General features: G+C 33.1%; 1 protein-coding gene across 25 annotated transcripts in view; it reads right to left on the bottom strand.

Annotated features, from left to right (window-relative positions):
- The window catches only part of BCKDHB (branched chain keto acid dehydrogenase E1 subunit beta), a 360067-nt gene that overhangs the window by 179542 nt on the left and 158702 nt on the right, over positions 1 to 21823 (bottom strand). For 19 of the 25 annotated variants that reach the window (XR_001743546.3, NR_187564.1, NR_134945.2 and 16 more), the window contains one exon: positions 13914 to 14000. Coding sequence is in view for 18 of the 25 variants with exons in the window: in NM_001318975.1 (NP_001305904.1) it covers positions 13914 to 14000 (87 nt within the window). In the remaining 7 variants the exon portion in view is untranslated. Of the gene's footprint in view, positions 1 to 4295; positions 5664 to 10631; positions 14001 to 21823 lie in introns of those variants that run through there. The other 6 variants (NR_187563.1, NR_187565.1, NM_001424041.1 and 3 more) reach the window with 4 other exon arrangements.

Raw genomic sequence — 21823 nt, 5'->3', positions numbered from 1 at the left:
TTTAGGAACTTGGTGGGAAAGAGAACAATGTTTTTAACAGTTGGATCAACAACAAGTGGGTCTAATCTACTCACTCCCCACCAGTTCACCTCCCTTTGGCCTGACATAGAAGCTGAAACTATGGTCACTTACTGTATATTTCTGAACATTTCTTTTTGAAAGAAAATTATTGTAATATAGATGCCAGCTCTACTTGATAGACAGATGACCAAAGACTGATGAACAACAATGCAAATGTAATAAAATCACCCTTAAATGCTTGCCTTGTATATGTCATAAAAAGATAAATATAAGTAATCATACTCTACTTCTGTGACACAAAAAAATAAACTTTTACTAATGAAAACCTTCATTAATAACACAGGGCTTCAGACTCTGTCTATGAAACACTTATCAATTTAAAAATGCTGTACTGCTGGTTTCATAGTTGAAAGGCAAAAAACTTTCAATGAACCAGTACCTGAGAAGCCCATCTATCCTCCCCGTTAACTCAAAGCAATTATCCATATGTGTATAATAAGGAATTCTACCCTCTCAGAAGACATTAACTTAAGGCTAAGAGTTTGTCCCTAAGGAAAATAATTCAATAGCTGGTAGTCAGTGAGCCAAGCCTCTGGTTCTAAAGAAATCTTTTAACATATAATGTGAAGTTGATGTTAAAGATAATGCTGCTTTATATTATTAACTAAATGTGTCTTCATCAATAAACAAAATATTTTGTCCCAATTTTGAGTAACAAGGCAAGTAGTAAGAAAAGTCATACAAATGAATGTTTAAGTACTTAGCAAATCTCTTCAAATAGCCTAACCAGCATTTCAAAATAAGACATTTGTTCTAAAAAGAAAAATTAAAATTGGGTTTACTCTAAGGAGAAATTGTTTTTAAATGTTTTTCCTAATTCCCACTTGTTTTTTTCCTTAGTTTATATTTGAAGAATCTCTTTCTTAATTATGTATTGTGCTGATCGCCCAAATATCTTCTAGTAGCAACAGTAAAGCTACAGTTAGCTATGATATCCTTGGAGAAAATTAACAGCATAAGCAGAAAATTCATATATCACACCTCATTTAATTACACTGTTTAAAAAAGTATCAATTTAAAAAGTTAATTCATATATTCTTCAGGTTGAAAAGTTAATGTAGGGAGAATCAACATCTCTTACTACACACACACATATACACACACACACAGAGACACACTTATCCCTTATACTGACAGAAGATCCACTTTACAAATGCTTTTCGAATGGTATTAAGCAATTTCATAGTATTTTTAATGAGTATCATCTTTGATCAACCCCAAGGGAGGAAAAAAAGATTTGCCTACATCAAACCTCATTCCCTTACTTTCATCTAATATTACAGGATACTTCTATTTTAGTCTACTAGGATGGAGAAAGCCTTCATAAGCACAAACTACCCAAAATAATGCTTAGTTTACCCATGGTGACAAAAAATATTATAGTTTTGCTGCAAAGGTCCACATGTTCACAAGACTGGCATGGAGGACACTGCCCGGAAAGTTGTTTGTTTGTTTGTTTTTTAAAGGCAGAAAGAGCAGCAAGAGGGCAGGCAGAAAGGAGAAAAGATACTGTGGTTCTCTGAACAGATATAAGAGTATCCATGCTTACTACCAGAAGGATTTACCCATGCTACTGTTGCTCCCATGACTCAGTATAGATATAGGTTAGTAAAGGTCCTATTTTTATAAAGTACACGGGTTTTATTAAAATTGAAACTGCATTTAATTTATTAGGTAAATTGATAACAGAATACATAATTAGGCATTCCATCATATTAGAAGACTATTTTATCAACATTTATGCAGTACTTCATTATTTTAATGTACTTGAACTGTGTATTGGGACTGCCACAGAAAAGCTGGTTTTAATAAAATTTAGAATTGTGCGATGTTGGAATATTACTCACAAAATACACTCAAGTTGTTCAGCTATGTACACTTAGGTAGAACTCTATGCCCAGAAAAGTTCATGGTTAAAAAATAAAGTATAAATTTTGTGTCAGAGTGCAGAGGCAGGAGATTCTTCAGTAATGAGCTGAAAAGGCAAGATTAAGTTTCAGTTTTTTTAACTGCTAATATAAATTAGAGTTAACCATTGCTATTAGAAAAAAGACTAGCAGAACAAGAAGAAAAATGCAACACTTAAAAATACAAGCCATCTCAGAGAAAACATTGTCTGAGTGGTTCTGAAAGCAGCTAATAATACAGGCATGGTGACTATTTTATGCTACTGCTTTTTGAAGCCCAGAATTTAAATCAATCCAGAAAAGAAATGAAAATGTGTTACAATTAAGAGAGCAAACTAATCCTGTCAAAAGACAGGACACAATGAGGACTTGTTTTAAGCAATGGCACAATTACAAATGTGGATGATACAAATATAGGTTTAGAAATGTTAGTCACCTTAAGGCATTTTTAAAAACATAAATATTTAGATCCCCTTTAAAGAACAGTCATGAATTATATCCTTTTCAGCTAATAATTTTGATAAAGACAAATAGACTCTTTGTGCCATCTGAAATATAAACTGTCTTAAACAGCAAATGTCATTATCTGATCCTCTAAAGGATTAAAACAAAAAAGTTATGTCTCTTCAAATGAATCAAGAAGCAAAAATAAAGTCACTTTTTAAGTTAACTTGAAAGAAAATGATCAAACATCCAACATTTTCCAATCAAATGGAAATTTTCAGATATCTTAAAGACTCACATTAATATTGATAGATTTGAAAAATCAAAACAATTATCAACTAGATGATTTCTGCTTTTAACCTTCATTTTCAAATTCTTGTTTTTGCAGTAAGTGCTGATTTTAACTTGTCTTAATTTTCACAAGTGTTTAACTTCAAATTGAGGAGAAAATGCATCAGCAGTAGTGAATCTCTATTTTAATGTCTATTTTAAACTCGACTATATTTTAGTGAGCTGTGAACTCATTCATGAAAATAGATAATGGCCCTCATAACAAAACACAAACTGAGTTGATCTGTAAGTTTAATTACCCTAAATTACCAAACCAAAATGAGCTATCAACATCACCAACATTATTGCCTACAAAGGGCATGACAAAATGAGAAATTTAGTTCTGTCTCCAGGAGGCAGACCCATCCTGTTACTGATTGTGAATACAATGCTGACAAAACATGGCTAACATTTCTTGGCAAATTGAATATGTGTCTTCATTTTTGCCTAAAATGTTGTACAAGGTGGCCAAGAGAATCAGCCAGGTTATGGATACATTATCTGCTGTCTTTCATGTATAAAATTTTAAATAACCTTATTGTAGTTAGAAAATTTTGAAGATAAGGCTGTACATTTTAAAATATACATACTGAAATACAATCATTTCATACCAAATAAGAAAATATTTTAAATCCACTATAATTTTCTTTGAAGATACAGCCATATTTTCAAGGATCAATGCAATGAATGGAAACTACAACTTTTAAGGTATTAAAAAACAACAAAAAGGGACCAAGTCATAGAAATCACCATTAACTTTTTAAATAAAGTAATGCTTTCCTTCAGAGAATCTATTTTACTAATTAATAGTCCATTCAGTCTACGAAACTTCATTGGTAAATATGTAAATATAAATGTCTTCCTTAGCTTACTGGGGTGACAACAGAGAAAGAGTAGAGGAGCTTGGTATGAATGCACCTTTGAATTCAAGGGGGACTACTTATGACTACAGAAATACCAAGAATTGCATGAGAGAAACTGGGGCACTTATTACTCAGGGAGATGAAATATGATCTTTTTTCTGACTGGCTTAAATCCAGAAAGACTTCAAAAAGAATGATGACAATTCATGATAAATTCAATACCAAAAAGAGGGATGGAAAATAAGCAGTGAACCCAATGTTAGTATCAATTACATGCTAGTAATGTCAGTTTCAGTATCATTACTGATTAATACAGAAAAATTAAATAATCTGAATACCCCAATACAATGCTGCTTTCACTTCTGTAATAAGAGCAATGAATCAAAATATGCCATACATGTAGAAGACAGACACTAACCTGCAGAAAAACCAAATCTTATGCGGTGAGGTGGCATTGGTTTTAAAATCATCCCACATGACAATTCTGAGTAAGTAACCACCATCACTATGAATGGTAAATCCCAAAACTCAAATGTACATGATAAAGGAATTATGTCAAAATAAGTAATATGAAATCTTTGCAAAACAACTTTATAAGCAAAATGGGTTTTTTAATTTAAAACAACTAGGAAGATTTAAAAGAATAACCATGTCATGTGAGAGAAACATCTACATATAATAAAGCTTTTAATTATTAAAAAAGTGACATGTATGTACATAAAAATGAAGAAACAATTAGAAAATACAAATCAATAAAAGACTTATAGTGCAAGTTTCTTTTCCTATGCCTAGATGTATGTATATATAAAGTTTTTTTCTTTTTTCTTTTCACAACATTGAGCAAGTAAAGTACCTGTAGGTTTGCATACAGGTGAGTTTTCATTTACTATTTTATTCATGCAAATATTACAATGTTATCAACTACTCTTTTAATGATTTTGATAAATCCATAACATTCATCAAGTGGACAAATCATAACTTATTAAAATATATTCCTGTTGTTGTCATTAATAATGTGTCCGATATTTTCCTATCGAACGAACAACACTGAGATGAATACATATTTTTGTGTTTAACTCCTAAGTGAGGATTCCTAGAATTCTTGAATCAAAGGAAATCTACACTTTGAAGAGTCTCGATACACATTCTCAATATGATATCCTGGAAACGTGAATCAATTTCTATTAATACATTCACATTCTACATCATCTCAGCAGAAAATAAAATTCATTTTTAAGCAGTCCCACTCTTATAAGTAACAAACGATATTACATTTTTAAAATTAGCATTTTATCAATAGTAAGTGGCATATTTTTTCATGTTTGCTGGCTATAGTTATAAAACTAATCTGTTTCTGACCCTTTAAATAAAGGCCCTATTAATTTCCGTATTGACATTTAAGAATGCTTAACAGAGTACACGTTAGTTCTCTGTCATGTGTTACAACATATTCTCATTTGTCATTGTTTTTAAAATCATGCTTGTTTTTGCCATACAAAAATTTCCATTTTATGCAAATATATTTCTCTGTAACAGTATGATTGAGTCTGCTGCCTTTTAATTTTCTGATTAAAAATGTCTTGCCCATCCCAATATAAGCTATTTTCTACCTTTTCCTTTTAGATTTAGTGGTTTTCTTTTTTTTTTCTAAGTTCATTTAGAGTTTATTAGGAAAATGGAAAAAAGAGGTCAGGTTTGATAGATGTTTAAAAACCGACTGCTAGATGGTTTGGAGGGGAAGGGAGAGAATGAGGACAGGGAGAGGGGCAGGGAGGAGAGGGAGAAGACAGGCAGGCTGCCAGGGAGGACTGCAAATTGAGGAAATAAATGGCATTCTATGCCAAGTGAATAGCATTAAGAGATCAAACCTAGCTCTAACTACTTCATTCCTCTCCTTTCCTTGAAAGTCAAGTTTCTTGAAATGGTAGTCTATATTCATCGGTTCAAGTCTTCACTACTTACTCACTCACCAGTCTAAATGTTGTCTGGCTTCCTGGCCACCCTTCTGTTTTCATCAGTCACCAGTGTCTTCCAGTTGCTACATGCAAGGTAGGACCATTAGTCTTTAGCTGTCTTAAATTCTGGAAGCATTTAATATTCTTGGCCATATATGCTATTGTCAAACTCTTCTGCACTTGTCTCATGTAATGGCTCTCTCCTACTCCCTTCCTTTTCTGAAGCCACTCCCTCTCACTCTGCTTCATAACTTCCTTTCTTTCTCTTAAATGTTGGTGTGGCTTCTTCTTCAACCCAGGCAGCTTCTTCTTCAGAAACTTTCCCTTCTTAAGATTATCTCTTCCTATGTGACCCTATCTATACCCATGAACTCAGCCACCAGTATATCAGTATAAGAGAATGAATCCTTACCCATTTCCTACACCTTAGATTCTCTCCTGAGCTCCAGAAACACATTTTCATCCCCATTTCAGATACAAATCTAAAATGTACTCATTACCTTATACACACACACACACACACACACGCATACACCTGTTCTTCAATGATATTCCCCATCTCAGTGAAACTGCACCTCTATTCAAAAATCATCCAACCTAGAAACCAAGCTATGCTTTATTCTTGACTTCTGTCTGCCTCTCCCTCATCCACTTCAATCCCCACCCCACTCCTGTGAGTCAGCAAGTCTTTCATTCAGATTCTCTCTCCTACTATCTGAAAAATTCACCTTTCTCTAACCTACTCCCATGTCCTTGGTTTAGAAGACCGTCAAATCTCACCTAGTTTAATCACATACAGTAATGAGTCACAAGGACAGGAATACATTTTGAGAAACGCATTAAGCAATTTTGTGGTTGTGCAAACATCACAGACTATACTTTCACAAACCTAGATGATATATATTTTTATTTATATACATATTTTTTCACATGGAAAACCAAATATCCCAGAAGCAGCATTAAATATCAATCATTTCCCATACTTGATCTGCAATGCCCACATCAAGCACCATATTATTAGGTTTCTATTTATGCTCCACTATGATCTCATGGGACCAACATCTTCTATGTGGTCCATTGTTGACCAAAATGTTGTTTTGCAGTCTGTGACTAGCTTTTTAGCAATTCTCCATCACTTCCTCTCTCACTCCTCCCCAGTGTATCCTCTACACAACTACCTAGGAGTTTTTCTAACTTTTAAATCTATATTAATCTCCTGCTTAAAATTCTTCACTTATATTCTTTTGCCTTAAATAATTATAGTAATATTTTCAGCTCCTACTACTTTCTATTTGCCAAGAACTCCATAAAGTATATTTTATATATATTACATGAGAAAACTGGAAGTTACATCTATGTGAGCTGGCTTTACTCTGTCATATCTATTTCCTCCACATAAAAACAAATTCCTTAATATTTAAGATTCTTCAGGATCTAATTCTTACCTACTTGTCAACGCTTACCTTACGCTACAGCCTCACATGCTAGTCTTTAAACACACAAAACCACTTTAATTCCTTCAATAGCAAATCCTTTGCCTAATTCCTTATTCATATAGTTCATTCTGCCTGAAATACCCACCTACCTTCACTACCAAGTTCATACTTATCCTTCATGAGTTAACTTAGCTGCCACATATGGGTTAAATGAGCACGTATTTTATAATCCTATAGTTCTCTGAATATTCCATTCTAACATGTACTATAACTACCTGTTTATCATCGACTTCTAATAAACTCTAAGTGTCTCTAAAACAAGGACACCAATTCTTGGATGAAATGCCCATATTAAGGCTATCCCCAGAATACTTAATAAAGGATGGTTATAAGAAATACTTATCATTCAGGAAATAGCCAGTAGGCCAGTGTGATCTGCATACTGGAGTCAAAAAGGGATGTGAGAAATAACACTGGAAGACTGGTTTGAGTAGATCAGGATCTTGAATGCCGACATAAAGATTTTTTTGCTAGACCCAATGAGGATCCATTGGATGCTTTCAAACAGACAATGGACGAAATTTGATGTGTGTTTTAAGAAAATAATACATAGTAATTAGACGAGAGGTGAACAGCTGGAGACAAAGATAAGGAGACAGTTTAGGATGGGTCTGGCGGCTCACGCCTGTAATCCCAGCACTTTGGAAGGAAGAGGCAGGAGGATCACTTGAGGTCAGGAGTTCGAGACCAGCCTGACCAACATGGTGAAACCCCTGTCTCTACTAGAAATACAAAAAATTAGATGGGCGTGGCAGCAGGTACCTGTAATTACAGCTACTTGGGAGGCTGAGGCAGGAGAATCACTTGAACCCGGGAGGCAGAGGTTGCAGTGAGCCGAGATCGCACCACTGCACTCCAGCCTGGGTGATGGAGCCAGAGCAAGACTCTGTCTCAAAAAAACAAAACAAAACAAAAAACAAACAAACAAACAAAAAGGAGACAGTTTAAAAGGTCCAGAAAAAGTTGAAGAGAAATAGAGTTCATTTTTATATAAGCTGATTTCCATAAACTAGCAAATAACCATGTGCATATGCCTACCTTTTCTCATTGTTTCACATTCAAATTTTTCCAGATAATCATTTTATTACACAAATGTTTTATCTCTACCAAAATAAGCATAATGTTGGAATTTTGGGTCTAAAGCTCAACAGGTCAAACCTTGAAAGTTTCAAATTTGAAGGTTTCAAGAGTAACCATGCAAATGGTTGAGACGTCCCAGGAAAGAATGGGGAAAGGCACTTTGGGAGGCCGAGGTCGGTGGATCACAAGGTCAGGAGTTCAAGACCAGCCTGGCCAAGATGGTGAAACCTCGTGCCTACTAAAAATACAAACATTAGCTGGGCAGGGTGGCAGGTGCCTGTAATCCCAGCTACTCAGGAGGCTGAGGCAGGGAATTGCTTGAACCCGGCAGGCGGAGGTTGCAGTGAGCTGAGATTGCGCCACTGCACTCCAGCCTGGGCGACAGAGCGAGACTCCCTCTCAAAAAAAAGAATGGGGAAAGGGTTGGAGGTGGAAACTAAACAAGCAAAGGAGAAGATGACATGGAAGCAGACCAGGTGTGGTTAGGGCAAGGAGAAGAACCAACAGAGTATAACATGGATTTAACTACAAACAGTAATGAAGCAGCCCAATCCACAATATATCCCCAGAGTGATTTAGACTTTGGTTCCTATCTGTGGTCACAGAAGCTGTTTACAGAATACTAAACAGGCTTCAGGAAGAAACTACAGTTTTAAAATGCCATCCTATATCCAAACACTCCACATTAAACTGTTTTTCTGATGCTCTGGCTCCATCTTTTAGTACAGAAGTATACTTCTCCTGATTGTTTTATCTGTTGCTATTAGGAAAGGTTTTGTATCACTGGTAAATTTTTTGTTAACTGAGATTATAAAATTGCAGTAAACTACTCATCAAATTACTAATCTGATAGTTTTCTCTGATGACAATTTACCAGCACGGCAATTTTAATGAAACATGTTTTCCAGAATGGTAAAAATTCAAGACCCTATAGGATCTTTTCCCCTCTTTTCAGATTGATATCTTTAAACAAAGTGCTTGGAAATTTAGTAGTAATAAGTTTATAAGAAAAAATCCTTCTCCATAAACTATTCTAACATGAAACACTGAAAAAAGCAAAAATTCCTTTAACTTGAAAGTTATTAAAAGTTTTCTTTTACATAATGACTTGTATAGGCCCTATAAAAATCCTTTGAACTATTAGAATCTGATAATCTTAAAAAATATATGTTGGTATCCACAGTTTCTGAGTTCTTATGCTAAGAAAAGAGACCGCACAGAAAGGATGTAACAATGGTATGGAAACTTACCATCCTCTCCAATTGGACTCTTTATTGCAGACTTATTGCTTCCATGTGATTTAAAAAAAAAAAAAAAAAACTCAAATCTTAAGCCAACCACATCCCTAAAATTTCTGGCACTCTTTTTAAGCACTGAATCCAAAGCAGGAGAAATAAACAATAACTTTAAAAAAAATTATCACACAACTCTTATCAGACTCAGGATTTGTTTTTTCATTATGCAGGTGTGTTGGAAATTAATAATAAAGGCTGATTTACAATCCTTAAAAAAATTTACTCTATTTAAACCAGCCAAAATACCATAAACTATTTGGTCTTAATATTTAAATAAATAATAGCTATGTTGAACATTACATTCTAGAATATATAAATTAATTTGGGTGATATTAAAATAGATGAGGTTAACACTTTTACACACTAAAGGCTTTCTTAAAAAAACCTGGGGTTACATAAAGCTGAAGCATACAAGCATCAAATAAAATTCATTCATATAATTTTCTGAAACAATAAAATCTTTGCTTAAAATACACAATAAAAAGAACAATGAATTATCTAAACTCTATAGTCATTGCACTTTTCCACAAATTACGGTGCACAATTCATGACTCCCTAAAAGAAGCATTTTAAGTTATAGTATGTGTCAAGTAAAAGAAAAGAATGAAAAAGTTCCCATACCCTAAAGTGAGAACAGATGGGAATGTAAGATAAGAAGAGAGAGTGAAGCTTTAAATAACTGACCAAGAAATCTTCCCCAGAGTGGGGCCAAATATACCAGACCTCAGCTTGCTCTGCCTTCCAGTTAATTTCCAAATTAAATCCAATAGAAATATAAAGCACTTCGTAAATTAGATGCACTGTTTTTTATTTTTGTAATCATTTATTTCTCTCTATATATATGTTTTATGAAGAAACTTTAAATAAATAAGTTTAAAAATTATGTCTAATCAATATAAAATAGTCTTCTAATCACTTCTGTGAGTTTACCATTATTTCAAACTAAGACTGTTAACAATAAATTTCTGTAAAATGGTAAAATAAATAGGCTTATAAAAAAAAAAGTAGCAGGAATGAAACAAACCTAAGATGTGGGCACTGAATTCCTTGCACGATGAAAGAGCCATCTGCTATAAACTAGAGTTTTGTAAATAAATTATGACTCCATCTTATATTCATTTCTTTCATATTTGATCTGTATACTAAAATAAGCTTTAAATAGTAATGCCAATACCACTTCTTATAAAAATGTTCCTTTATTTGATATTTAATTTTATATAGCATAATTTTTCTATCTAAAAATACCAATTATAAACTTAAAAGAATACTCTCCATAGTGCTGTATTCTCTTCAATATTTTTTATTTTAATATAGGTAGTAACTTAAACTTTTGAATAAAACAGCATAGTTCATATTTTCAGGTGTTTTCAGATTTTAATGTATTTAAAAACAATAACTTTACTATTAATACTCATTCTCTTAAAATATTTTAAAAGCAATTTTGTAGGATTAACCATGAGCTTTTAAAAAGCTACCAGATATCTTCTATCAAAAATCGCCTGTGGAGCAAACATTGTTTTCATTTCCTTTGACATAAAACTTGCATTTGTTGAACCAACAATAACTTCATATTTTAATCAAAAGTACTCAAATTTATACATCATTCTCATCCACGATTTAAAACATCTTTTCCCAGATAACAATGAAAGAGTTGTCCGTGTACATTTTCTCTGCTGTCCCAGAAAGTTGGCTTTCAATATCTTAACCCTGTTTTATCTTTTTTAACCTTAAAAAATATACCCCAAAAAAGAAATAGAGAAATATGAATCATGCTAAGTGGTGAAAGCAGTTGTACCTCAAACTTAGGTGATCTCAGTTTAAACAACCCAAGGCACTGGTAATTTGATACAGGTTTCACTTATAATATGGAACAAGGCTTTCCATAGAGAGGAAGCTCAATACAGGATATTGCATAGTTGAATATCTGCATGAAAGAGTTACTGAAAGGTATATTTTATTACTCAGATTACTCAAAATTATATGGGAAAATTATCAATGAAAAAAAATTTTTCAAGTGTCTAGTTTTTTTTCTAATCTTCTTTATCAGTAGATAAAAGCCATAACAGGCAAACATTTATGGATATCATGCTCACTAAATTTTACTAAAATTCATTTTCTATACTTTCTATTTGTGCAAATAAAATCTGAATTAAGCAAAAACACTGTGTACCTTTCAAATTTCTCATATTAATAAATCCAAACTCAAATTATCCAAAATATTAAATATAATTCCTCCATCAAATATTACACTATTGTCTCAAGTCATTCTGTGGTTAGCTGGTGAATAATTTTGCCATGAACAACAGAACATTGTATAACGGGTCCAAAACTTCTATTATCTTCCTCGTGGAAGGCAGGGGATTTTGAATTAAGAGTGCATGTGCACACACTTTACATTTATTCAAGACTCCTGTCTAATCCCAGATATTCCACTGTCTTTATAAAATGGGTAAGTCACAAACACTCTGGATGACACTCATCTGTAAAAAGAATGCAGTTGGTTTAGATCAATATTTCTCAAAATATAGACTAGGGACACCTGAGGATCTATGAACACATTCCTGGGAGTCTGAGAGTGCTACAAGATGCTTTGTTTTGGTGTCTTCATATTATTATATAAATACGATTATATTCTGATACTCTCATTGACAATTTTTGCAACTGACAATTATCACATAATTTCAGGATCTTATTTTGATATTATGTTTATGATATTTTATGTTAGTTATAGTGACTATGTTTAATTCTTAATATACTACTTCTCAAACTAGGATTCACTAATGTATTCTTGGGGCCTGAGAGACATTTTTCCATTAACATAAGACCACATATTATTTAAGACCAAGAGACACTGGATTAGATTATCTTTCTAATTCTATTCCAATCTAAAAAAATGTTGTATTAAATTGCAGTCTACCAATAACTTACAGAGATCAAACTTTAAAAGCACACTTACAGAAAGCAAACTTCACAAGAGGAGTTATAGTATCTAATTCCAACTATGTTCTACTTGTTTTCCTTTTTTAATTATATGCAATTGAAACTTTTGAGATATCAATAAGCAGTGAACAAAACACAACAAGGCTGTCAAAGTTTCAATTAGCAACAGTCACTATCCTTTCAAATGGTTTAGTAGACTATATATTAACTATAAGTCAGAAAATCCAGTTTCTTTTTCCAGTTTTGCCTCTGGCTTGAAATGATTGCCCTAATCTTTGTATTATGCTACTCAATGTATAAAATACACAATAAATACTAGGTACTCATGTTATATAATAATAATCAGTACATTTTAAATTTTAATTGATATAGTAACTAGGAAAACAATAAATCTACAAAACTCAAATATTTGCTTTTCTTACTATCAGTGACTACATATAAATTGTAAAAATAATTTCGTTTTTGACTATAATTATGGATTACTTTGATCTAGTTTTTAAAACATTTATGTTTAAATTGGGTTCATCTAATTTACAAATATTTTAATTTTGCAATTAGCACTTAAGATATTTCATTGGTAAAAATCATTGTTTACTAATTAAACATCTAAAAATAAAAACTTACCATTATCCATATATCATAATTCTATAACAATGTAGTAAGCCATATACTCTTAAAGGAATTCCCTATTCATATATTTTAACAATTAAAGCATCTTCACACCAGTAAAGAGAAGTAAAGTGTTTGCAAACTGCGAAGATATTCTGAATTTAAAAGACATGCACCTTCCATTTAAAATATGGCTACTTAATTTTCAATTTAAAAATTAGGAAGAATGAAACTACCTTAAATTATCTTATATATGTCTATGATATAAATTTGAATACAGGTTTTAGGTAAAACTTGCCAGAAAGAGGTGTATAAAATTTTTTCCTGATATGTGGCATCTTAATGAGCATTTTTTTTAAAAAAACATAGGTTTTTAAACAATTCTAAAGCATTTCCAATACCATAGCATAATTTGAATAACTAAAATAAATAATTTTCAAAATTACTTATTAAATTTAAATTATTGACTTTTGAGAGATTCATTTTTAGAACGTGAATGCTGTGAAAATCTAAGATCAATTCCACAATCAACCAATTCCATAACCTCAAGTCATATAAACAGGGAATGGGAACAGATTCAAATTAAAAAGATTTTTCTTTCTGTTAACGTAGCAAATACAAGCAAAGTTAATTTAGTAGACTCATTCCAAACTTTCTTCCCATAAAAAATTTTTCAGCTTTCAATATTTTAAGATATCTGTTCTAGAAAATTAATTAGATCATTAACTAACAAACAGAAAGTGTGGTCAGAATAAAAAATGAAAAAAAATTTACTTATCACAGTATATGAAAGCATGCACTACATTTCCATAAAGTGTATGCTTTCACATATTGTGATAAGTAATTTATTTTCTTCTGGAATTGGCATGTGGAATTGCACAAGCATTGAAATCAGTTCCAAAAATTACTCTACCTGAACTGTAGAGCTGATTTCCGATGCAAAGCCGCCTGTCAAGGGAGCCTCGTGACTGATTAGCAGTCGCCCTGTTTTGATCACAGACTGAAAGAGAAAAGAAAAACCTGATGTTAAAAAGAATATCTATTTTATATATATGATGGTAGTTTTAAATCAGTAATAAAAGTAAATTATATACATTCAATAAATAGTGTAAAAATCAGTAATTCAATTGTATGCCAATAAGTTACAACTCGCTTTCGACAGGTCAGTCATCTGATTTTTGAACTGTAAAATTTTTTTCAATATGGTTTGTAATCCCAGTAGAAAAGAAAAATGAGATTTGTAATTCCATATATGCAATTAAAAATGCATACCCATTATTGTAAGATACGTTTGTGTTATAAACTGAATTGCTGTATTTCATATTTCAATGTTAATATTTTTCTTCATGTTAAAGAGCGAAAGTTTTTTTTATTCATTTGTTTGCACATAAATAACAATGGCCTTAAGAAATACTGTTTTATGGAAAAGGAAAACACAAAAACAGTATGTGAAAGCTATAGCAAAGGAAAAATTTGGCAGTAAGAAATCCCTGCAAAAGTAAACCTCCTTCGTTAATGTGCTCTAAAATCTGGTTGATGACCACACTCTATTTTAAGGGTAAAATGTCACAAACAATGAGTACGTATTCTCAATAGTTGTTCAATGTGGTTGTCCACACTGTGCATGATACACTCTGTAAAATATTAAATAAAAAAGTATAGCAATGATATCATAGCAGGATGCCAGCTGTGTTGGCAGGTAAAACTATTAAAATCAACAGCAGGTTATTGCTTAAAATATGTTGAAAAATTATCATAGTACCAAAGAGAAATGGCAGTTTTGTCTTTAGATTTCTAACAATTTAACATCACCTTTAATAAAATCTGTTACTATTTCATAAATATAAAATGAAATCTTTCAAGCAAAAATATCTATTGAAATAAAAGATTTCATTCATTCTAGGCAATTATAGTTCAGAATTTAAAAAGTATGCAGCAGTTTCAGCTAGCATATGTTAAACTCTCAGATATAGCCAGTAGCCATGACAAAAATAAGTTACCATATCTACTAGGTAAATAGTGACTTTAGAACATAAAATTTTATGAACACCTTAATGAATACCACTCAAACCCCAGTGAAACGCTAACCTTAGGATATTTGTATTTGGCTTTCTATGACTGTGATTAATTATGCCATTTGTAAGAGTCACAAATTAAATTTCAATGTACCTGTACAAAAATATAAAAAGACAAAAATATTCCACAATCACAAAACAACATATGTATTTTCAAAGTGTTTTCTAAAAGATGTCCTGACTTTAAGAATAAACAATGAAAAAAAAAAGATTTGACAATCAGATCATTCTTTTTTTGTTTTTTTTTGAGATGGAGTCTCACTCTGTTGCTCAGGCTGGAGTGCAGTGGCACCATGTCGGCTCACTGCAACCTCCGAATCAGACCACTCTTATAGCTCTGAAACTCAGAACTTGGCCAACATAAAAGTATCTAAGGATGACAGCCAAAATCCATCCAAGCTATCTGGTGCATCTTAAATTTTGAGCAGGTAGAAATAAGAAACTTCTATAAAAATGCTGGTACCCTAAAACCCTACACAACCAAATTGTTCCTTTTTGTCTGAGCTCAGGCCTATCCAAAATCAAATGACAACCTTTAGAATAATCCCTGAAAGCAAACAAGCAACCAGGGCAGGTGGCCTATGTATCCTATAGCCTATGCAGATGGCCACAGAGTGGATGGTGAAATCAAGCACAGATGACCAAGGACAAAAGCTTCCAACATTTGAGGTTGATTCAACATGATTTGTAAGCAGATAAAATTTGGAGCCCTTCTGAGCACTCCTCAGCAGAGGAATGACTAAATAGACCAATATGCATCAACATAGTAGAGTATTATGCAGCCATGAAAAAGACTAAGGACATGTAAAGACAGCCATGACAAATTAACTGGTAAAATGAGTAAGTTGCAGGACGATATAATCTTATATTTTGTAAAAAACAACCACCACAGCAGTGAGCACACCAAGCAACTTATCTTTTCAACATGTACATCGAGCCAACATGTATAAACAGTCCAGAAACTTTCACTCCAAAATATCAAAAATAGTTTCTCCCGAGCAATGCAGTGAAGGAAGTGTAGGAAAGAGACTTTTACTTTTTGCTTTATGTATGTTTAGATCACTGAAAGTATTCTAGTAAGTCTAAAATAAATAAAAATAAAGGGAAAGCCCTTGAATTAGTGCCAAACATTTAAAAATACATGTTATTTTGTAGTTATAATCTTCTCAAAAAACATAATAATGTTTTTGTGATATCTTAGGACTAGCTTCAGAAACAAAGGAATCCTGAGATCCAAACTCCAGCAGCAAACAGGCACACTAACAACGCAGGGAGCCAGTCTTCCCATCCCACTCTGTGTGATCTGCTCCAGGTCAGGACCATATCCAGCTCATCACTTGGCCCTCAAAGCCGTTAGATACTTGACAAAATGAGCAATAAACTACTGGCATCAGACAAGTTCAAGTTCTTCAACACCTCTGTATGTGCATTACAAAAATTGTGTGCTCTCAGATGAGGAGTTAGGCTGACAGATATGGAAATAATTCCAGAAATTTCTAAAACACCAAGAACTAGAGGAAAAATACAATAAAAGTAATCACACTTTGAGTTTGTGGAAATTGCCACTTGTCTACAAACAAATGGAACAAAAATAGTGCAGCAAGAAGAGAGGAGTCAGAAGTAACAATCACAATCATAAACAATGATTGTCACAAAAATTGCTATGTGCTAGGCTCTGAGCTGAGTATTTTACAATTACTTCACTTAATTTGGAAAGCACTTATGATTCATTTTTGCTTCTTAAAAATCATTGCCAATGTCTAAAAGTATTAAAATGTATTATGTCAAAATTCTGAAAATGCAAAAATTTAGAAGACTGATACTTTCAGTCACACTCAATTAGCATATACTGAACTGTCTGAAAACAGTTCAATCATTTTGTGAGGTATAGTAGAAATTTGTTATATGCTTTTTATCATTCACAATTTTAACTTGATAAAATTCCTGAAGACTGCTTTTCTATACTACTTTGGAAATTATTAACAATGTTAGTATAGTGAAAATGAGATCATTATAAATCTACAAAACAAGAGAATGTTATTTCTTTCTATTCTGTCTATTTTAATTAGATATTCTGATTAAAGTACATATTTTTGTCCCCTTTAATAGGCTTTTAATGTTCACATATCTAGGCAAAATAATATGTAACTGTCAAGAAATTCCCCTAACCATATTTAGCATTTTGATGTCCTTAGTAAAAATTAATGCAGTATGTTTCAATGGAGATGGCCATTTACCTTTTTAAGATAAATAATTGTAGATACAATGCTAATAATCATTTAAAAAATATTTTCTTCCAAATAAAATAAATTTTAAAGTTTTTAAATTTTCTTCTGAGATAAATTCATTTCATCACTTGAAACAAATTAAAAGTGTTTAAACAACTTTTCAGGATGAAAGCTGAACCTATCAAAGCCAGGAAAGATCACGTAAGGCTGGATTTGCAAGTATCTACTTCTCCAACTTTTTACCACCGAGTACTGTTCCTGGATTCCGGGCTATGGCAGATGGAGCACCAATGAGTTACGGGTGACAAATGGCATCAGGGAAAGCTAAGCCAATTGAAGATCAGGACCCTGAATAACTCCTCTACCATAAAACAAAAGGACTTTGTTCCCTGCAAAGGAACAAAAGATTTGTTCTAAAAGATTTGTCAAAAAAGCATTAAAAACAGTCCTGAAAGGCTCGCAGTTTTCTCACCACTTCAGTTAGTCATTCCGTCCAACAGAGCATTAGTGGCATACTATCACAATAGGAGCAATCAGAATCCCAGCTCCGTACACACGGCATTGCCAAAGGCAGATATATCAAGGCATCCCTGTTCTGCTGGAACCCTAAACTTGTTTCTTGTTTGGCCACTCTATGACTTTTCCCCATTACCCATTTTCTTTCTACCCAAACGTCTTTATGAATGACCATAAATTAACCAATGCAGAATGTCTAGCACAGTGCTCTGAACATTGTAGACACTCAAGAAAAGTTAACTAGATAAAAACTCCATTAAAACAAATCGTTTAACTTTATTATGCATGTTCTCTTTAAATTTATTTATGCTATTGCATTCTTAGCACAATCCATTTTTAAGGTAGTTCAGAAGTATATACTTGATCACATCCCAGAATGATTTAATTATGAAGTAGCATGTTCCAAATTGATGGTATTTTAATGTAGTTTTAACAATAAGATATTTGTGGTAATAAGAGAGCTGCTAAGTTATACTCTGTTAAAATGATTGCACAGACTTTGGCTGCCCAAACATTAGACATATGTTTTAGTGAATATAGCCTTTAAAGATTTTAACACAATCCAACCAGGAAAACTGTTAAGTTGTTATTCTAGGAGAACTGATACAGATAGGCAAACCATAAAGCTTCCATATTCCTGAAAGTACAACATCGACATTTGAAAAGCAAAACATTTATCATCTATCTGTATTTTTTATTTTATTTCTTCCTCAAAATCTATAGCAAGATTGTTTTCTTACAGACAACTGAACCTTACCTACACCAAGTACAGCAACTATTCTGCCTGCTGATAAGGTTAAAAAAAAGCAATATTTTGGATAGGCAATTTATAGCCCTTTTAATATTTTCTATCCGAATATAAAGCTAATAAAAAGCAAAAGAAACACCAAAGCTGGTCTGTATCAGTTCCTTCTGAAATCAAGAGAACCTCATATATGTAATGCATACATATAAGTACAACTAATGGTAAAATCATAGCACGTATACTTCATTAATCAAGAACATATTATTTATACAATTTAGAATCATTAAGGATAGAATTTTGATGAACTTCAAATATCAACGCAACTGAATTAGATACATTTTTTGAGACGTTTTCTTGTTTTGTAGCCAAGTGCATGTAACAAGTTAGCCAGAAAAACCTCACAATTAATCACAGGTTAGCAAACATATTAATATATGCCTAGTAATTTGTTAATCAGCATGACCTCCTCCACACATGACTGGACCACTGGCTAGTATTCCGCTGGAGAAATGCCAATGCTAAACAACAACAAAAAAACAGTCCTGAGCTTCAGAGAATGTCTTGAAAACTCCATTTTGGCAAAGATGTTAGTGAGGGGGTTACACATATTTTAGTATTGTAGGAAAGTGTAAACCAAGAAAAACTAAATTGTCAGGGCTTTATCACCCGTGTGGAAAAAGTACAAAAGGGAACAAGCAGAGCACAAAGACAATTACATGAAGAGCTGAAAAATAAGCAAATAATGTTGACAAAGAAATAAAACATTTGGGAAATTTTTGTACATCCTCACTGGTTCATTTTTTCCTCAATGATTTGTATAATCAGAACTGAAATACTGAAGAACCTAAGAAAACTGCTTTTGCAAAATTAAAAGTGGACATCTTTCTGAAAGCTACTTCAAAATATTTCAGATAAACATGTTCCTGTCAGTTAATCGACCTTACCTTTCCAACTTGCTTTCTAATAGTCCCTCTATGCTCCAGGCATGTCAGTCCCCTCACAACTCTGAATGTGATTGATGGTTTTCCACCTCAGACTTCCTTCCCCACACTGGCAGACATTCTATCCCTCCCTCAAGACCCATCTCATACAACTCTTTCTCCCTGGTCCCCGCAACCAGCTGGGCTTTCCCTTATATTAAACCCCATGGTACCTTTCCTCCTTTTTCTTGTCAGATTGTCTATGTACTCGTAACCATTTCCCAGTAGAATTTCAGGGAGCTGACAATGCAAAATATTATATGAAACCTAAAACCAGGTTACAAGGGCAAGAATCAAGTACAGTAATAAGGTGAAGGCAGCACACTCTGCTTCAACTCTCTCTCTTAGGAAGACACACAATTTACCTCATAGCACAGCACTGTATAGATATGTCTAATCCTCCAACCTCACTCTAAATTACAAGTTTGAAGACAGAAACTCTTACTTACAATGCCTACTGAAGAACACAGCACATGGCAAATAGATATTACATTGAGCAAATTATGCCCTTTGTATATTAGTAAAAGATAAACAGCTTAGAAAAGGACCTAAGTATCTTTGTTTCTTTGTTTTGAGGAATTTTTTTTCATGGGCGGGGGGTGGTGGTGGTCTCTATACTATCTCCTTCAGCACTCCAAATCATTCAAGAGCATGGAATTCAGAACTAACAAATATTCTGTACCTAACTAGAATACCTAATACATTGTATATGTGGCCGCTCAATAAATGTTGCTTATATTGATCCCCCCAAAAAGCACACAGACACAGTAATTTACATGAATAACTCTTCAAGACTGGAAGTCTCTGATGTCTTTCATATCTTAGAGGGGACCAGTAATGTTATTAGGATGCTGAAAGAGAAGTCCTATAACCTAAGCTCTAATCGTTCTAATTGTAATAGAGGACTGCCCTGGGCCAACTCTCTCCACCTATTTTTTCCTATTCCAGACTTGTTTTAGAATAACGAGTTCGCAGTACAATACATGCTTCTGTGTACCTTTTTAAACATGCATGATGGTAACAAATACACAAACACTGAGTTAGTACTGAACACAAGCTTCCCGTTCCTACTGAAAAAAGGTCACAATGGCGGCAAAGGTATTGTACTGGACTAGAGGACATTTATTAGAGATGTAGTTAAACATGGGTAAATAGTAAATAAATGCTTTCAAAAGTTTTTTGCCCCATTTCCCTGTCAGCTTAAACATCAAACAAAGCATAACCACCTGTAGGTAGCAACATAATTATTTCTGCCAAAACAATATTTCAAAGATTGAAGTAGCTGCTTGTCAGGTTGTTTTTGTATCTTCACTCTTTTCCATCAGTTTTTAAAAACATTTTCATAAACTTATTCCTAATCTCCATCTCAACTCAATCTGTTTCTATGAAGAAAAGAAATTGTAACATGTGATTTGGCTATTAATACTGTTGACTTCCATGTCATAGAATTTTAGAAAACTGTTGAAAAGGTCTACTACAAAGCCAAGTTGTACTTTTGAGACACAATCAGGGTGCTGCATCTTCCACACCTTCTGTCCTTAGAAGACCCTTCCTGGCTCTTCCAGGATTTTTCTTTGGAGTTGGCAATGGCAGGAGGCATTTGGAAGTACCACATAACTAAAGCCTTACTGTAAATATGCTTATGCTCTTCTAATAAATAAAAAAGTGAGAGTTCAAGAGTTACTGCACAGTATTTGGCAAATTTAGAACCTGAACCAACCATAAAGACCACTGTCATTATCATTCCACTATATTTATCATTTATTAATTCCAGCAGTTTACCTTCATTCAAGTGTTGTTACCATGGTGTTAATACCTATTATATTGTTCCAAGTTTAGCATTCAGGTTATAATTACAAGCTGACTGAAAAATTCCATAAAGATAGTTTTGTTTTCCCCTTTTAATCATTTTTAATTGTACAGTTCTGTGGCATTAAGTACATTCACATTATTACACAACCATCACGACCATCCGTCTCTAGTCCTTATCTATCTTCCCTAGCAAAACTCTGTAGCCATTAAACAATAACTCCTCATTCCCTCTTCTTCCAAGCCCTTGGTGTCATTCTACTTTCTGTCTCTATGAATCTGACTGGTTTAGGAACCTTATATAAATGGGTTCATACAATATTTGTCATCTTGTGACTGCCTTATTTCACGTTGCATAATGTTTTCAAGGTTCATCTATGCTGTATCATGTGTCAAAATTTCCCTCCTTTGAAACAGTAATATCCCACTGTATGTATATATCACATTTTGTTTATACATTCATCTATCAA

The sequence above is a fragment of the Homo sapiens genome, chromosome 6 (genome assembly GCF_000001405.40).
Source record: "Homo sapiens chromosome 6, GRCh38.p14 Primary Assembly".
Lineage (NCBI taxonomy): Eukaryota > Metazoa > Chordata > Mammalia > Primates > Hominidae > Homo > Homo sapiens.
Note: the sequence above shows the minus strand (reverse complement) of the source record. Positions and strands in the feature narration are given on the sequence as shown.